Source organism: Homo sapiens, chromosome 9 (genome assembly GCF_000001405.40).
Source record: "Homo sapiens chromosome 9, GRCh38.p14 Primary Assembly".
Classification (NCBI taxonomy): domain Eukaryota; kingdom Metazoa; phylum Chordata; class Mammalia; order Primates; family Hominidae; genus Homo; species Homo sapiens.
In genome coordinates, this window is record NC_000009.12 from 41,292,905 (window position 1) to 41,296,778 (window position 3,874).

General features: G+C 41.1%; 1 pseudogene; it reads left to right on the forward strand.

Annotated features, from left to right (window-relative positions):
* MYO5BP1 (myosin VB pseudogene 1) lies at positions 1 to 2,290 on the forward strand (annotated as a pseudogene).
* Positions 2,291 to 3,874: the final 1,584 nt, after the last annotated feature.

The window sequence follows — 3,874 nt, forward strand, 5'->3', positions numbered from 1 at the left end:
GGAAAAGAATGAGAGGAAGCTCTAAAAGCAACTGAAGATTTACATGAGGAAGCTGCCCAGGCGTTGGCCCAGAGTGAGAGGAAGCGCCATGAGTTCAACAGGCAGGTCCCAGTTCAGTGGAAAGAAAAGGATTTCCAGGGCATGTTGGAGTGCCGCAAAGAGGGCGAGGCCCTCCTCATCCTCAACCTGGTGACAGACTTGAAGCCCCAGATGCTGTTGGACACAGTGCCCTGTCTCTCCGCCTACATCCTCTACATGTGCATCCGGCTCGCGGACCAAACCAACGATGATCTCAAGGTGCACTCCCTGATGACCTCCACCACCAACGGCATTAAGAAAGTCCTGAAGAAGCACAGTGATGACTTTGAGATGACGTCATTCCTGTTATCCAACACCTGCCACCTTCTTCACTGTCTGAAGCAGTACAGCGGGGATGAGGGCTTCATGACTCAGAATACAGCAAAGCACAACGAACACTGCCTTAAGAACTTTGACCTCACCGAATACCGTCAGGTACTGAGCGACCTTTCCATTCAGATCTACCAGCAGCTCTTTAAAATTGCCGAGGGTGTGTTACAGCCGATGATAGTTTCTGCCATGTTGGAAAATGACAGCATTCAGGGTCTATCTGGTGTGAAGCCCACTGGCTCCCAGAAGCACTCCTCCAGCATGGCAGATGGGGATAACTCATACCGCCTGGAAGCTATCATCCGCCAGATGAATGCCTTTCATACAGTCATGTGTGACCAGGGCTTGGACCCTGAGATCATCCTGCAGGTATTCAAACAGCTCTTCTACATGATCAACGCAGTGACTCTTAATGACCTAGCTCCTGCGGAAGGACGTCTGCTCTTGGAGCACAGGCATGCAACTCAGGTACAATATAAGTCAGCTTGAGGAGTGGCTTTGGGGAAGAAACCTTCACCAGAGTGGAGTAGTTCAGACCATGGAACCTCTGATCCAAGCAGCCCAGCTCCTGCAATTAAAGAAGAAAACCCAGGAGGATGCAGAGGCCATCTGCTCCCTGTGTGCCTCTCTCAGCACCCAGCAGATTGTCCAAATTTTAAACCTTTAGCCTCCCCTGAATGAATTTGAAGAACAGGTAACAGTGGCCTTTATACAAACGATCCAGGCACAACTACAAGAGCAGAATGACCCTCAGCAACTGCTGTTAGATGCCAAGCACATGTTTCCTGTTTTGTTTCCATTTCATCCATCTTCCCTAACCATGGAGTCAATCCCAGCATGTCTCAATCTGGAGTTCCTCAATGAAGTAGATGCATGTTTAATCTGATTCCCAATGTGAGCAAAAAGGAAGTATAGACAGTAAAGTAAATTCAAGGATCTGTTAAATCTGGTAAAAGTAGTTCAAATCAGAGATTGACAGCCTGTGGAGGGTGCTGAACTATACAGAATTAACACAACTATGGCGTTATTTTTTGTACGTACTGCTCAGAATAAAAACACTTGAAATGTGGAAGATTTTAAGTTTGATTTCAGTCCAACAAATATACATAATAATTTATAGACACCAAGCAGTCCCCATAGCCATATAAAAGATGCCAATTCTATAAAATGAAGCTGCCGAGTTTTAATCTTTGCATATAACTGGAGAATGTCCAAATTAAAATACTAACTATATATAAGTCACATAAATTGCCTTCAAAGGGCTTTTAACAAATAATAGTACTAATAACCATGATAATGACATATACTGACACTTCCCAAAGTTTGCAAACCATAGGTGTGGTAGAGTTTGTGGTGAGATGTGTTAAGAACAAAAATATGGGGATGAGACTTCTGAGAAATGTCCCCAAAATATTCTTTAATGGCTGATTATACAAAGACAGCAGTGTAACTGACCTCCAAACCAGACATTTTGAGTACTGGTTTCTGAAGCAAAATTAGAAGTGCCAGTCCTCAGTGTCCTCAAACGCTTTTGTGTAATCTTGGTTTAATGGAAGAGATGATTAAAATGCTGCTATCTGAAACTCCAAGTGAGAAAGATGGAAAAATAATTTGTGTCTGATGCTAGTCCATACACTTTCCAAGTCCCACAAAACTCTCACAAAAAAATGTATATAAGCTAAATATTACAAAATGATAACAACTTGTTTTATTTATAGATGTAAAAAACAAACAATGTGAAAGCTTTTAATCTCTTAATACCATTAAGCCTCCAGTAAGAGCCTCATATAATGCTCTACTATTCCAAACAACTAAATAGTAAAACAAACTAACTTTGCACATCAGATTATCTGAAAAACCTTCAAAAATACTCAGTTCAGGGATTACTATTATACAAAAGTCTGGGGTTTTTTTAAGAGAATAAAATGGCTTAGGTCAACTTTCCCCTTTCAGGTTATTTTCAAAGTTTTTCAAACGTTGTAATTCAAAATTGTAAATATCTCTCCTATGAAATAAGGATTTTAAAAATGAATAATTCAGTAATATAACAGACGTAGATGTTTGCTGCTCTTAGAATTTTTTGTTTGTTTGTTTTTGGGCTCTTCAAAAGCAAGCATTCAGTTAGAAACCCATATTATTCTTTCCACACTTTTTTTATTATACTTAAAGTTCTAGGGTACATGTGCACAATGTGCAGGTTTGTTGCATATGTATACATGTGCCATGTTGGTTTGCTGCACCCACTAACTCGTCTTTTCCATTAGGTATATCTCCTAATGCTATCCCTCCCCCCTCCCCCCACCACACAGCAGGCCCTGGTGTGTGATGTTCGCCTTCCTGTGTCCAAGTGTTCTCATTGTTCAATTCCCACCTATGAGTGAGAACATGCGGCGTTTGGTTTTTTGTCCTTGCGATAGTTTGCTGAGAATGATGGTTTCCAGCTTCATCCACGTCCCTACAAAGGACATGAACTCATCATTTTTTATGGCTGCATGGTATTCCATATTCTTTCCACACATTTTTTTTTACTGTCTTTTCCCTATTTCTTGATAGCAGTATGCTGTTTCCATGATAAGAACAAATAGTGTTTGCCAATCATAGAAGAACAGCCTCTGTATTACATTGAGAAAATGAGATTTATCCATGGATTGGAAGTAGAACAGCCTGCCTCCACCCTCCTTTACTCAACCACCCAACTTAAAAGGCTCTAGGAAACACAGCACACTCCAAGCTACCTTCTGTACTGTGCCCTTAGACCACAGCTTCCTCAGTCATTCTCTGCATCTCCTGGGGCTTAACCCAGTCTTAGCCTGTGTTGAGGCTGCTGACAGTTGTGTTCCAATCAGTTGCCATGGACATTATCCCTTCTACATCCACATTAAACATGCCAGCTTCTCTTGGGTGTCTGCAGAGCTGTGCCTTTTTCTTTCAGTTACAGTTACATAATCAATGACGTCCACGACACTCACACATGGATCCATGTGCTGACTTCATTTAGAAGGCCAATCTAAAACAACTGGGTTTGTGGCTACCTCTTTAAAGTTGTTTGTGAAGTATAATTTGCTTTTTGATGCACTTTAGTTTGAAACTGAGTCCCTTATGTAAGGACTGTCCTTAATCTTAAAAGACCAAAAATGCCTTGTTAGAGTGTTAAGGAGTTTTGACATGCAGTGGTTCCACAAATACAGTGGCTTACTGTCCTTATATACTGTCTTACACCATCATTCTCTCCATCTCTCTTGGTCACTACTGTCTGCTGTCACTGGTTAATCACTAGATGCCAAGAGCTTACTGAACAAAAGCTTGGCAATCAGAATAAATGGGGAAGGAAGGACCTTATGAATTGTCTACTTAGCCTAAGAAACGGCAGGTTTAGTTCTTCTCTTCCAAAAGATACAGGTATATCACTGGAATTGTACTTAAAATTTATAGATGACTAGCAAATATATACTTTATATGTACTTAA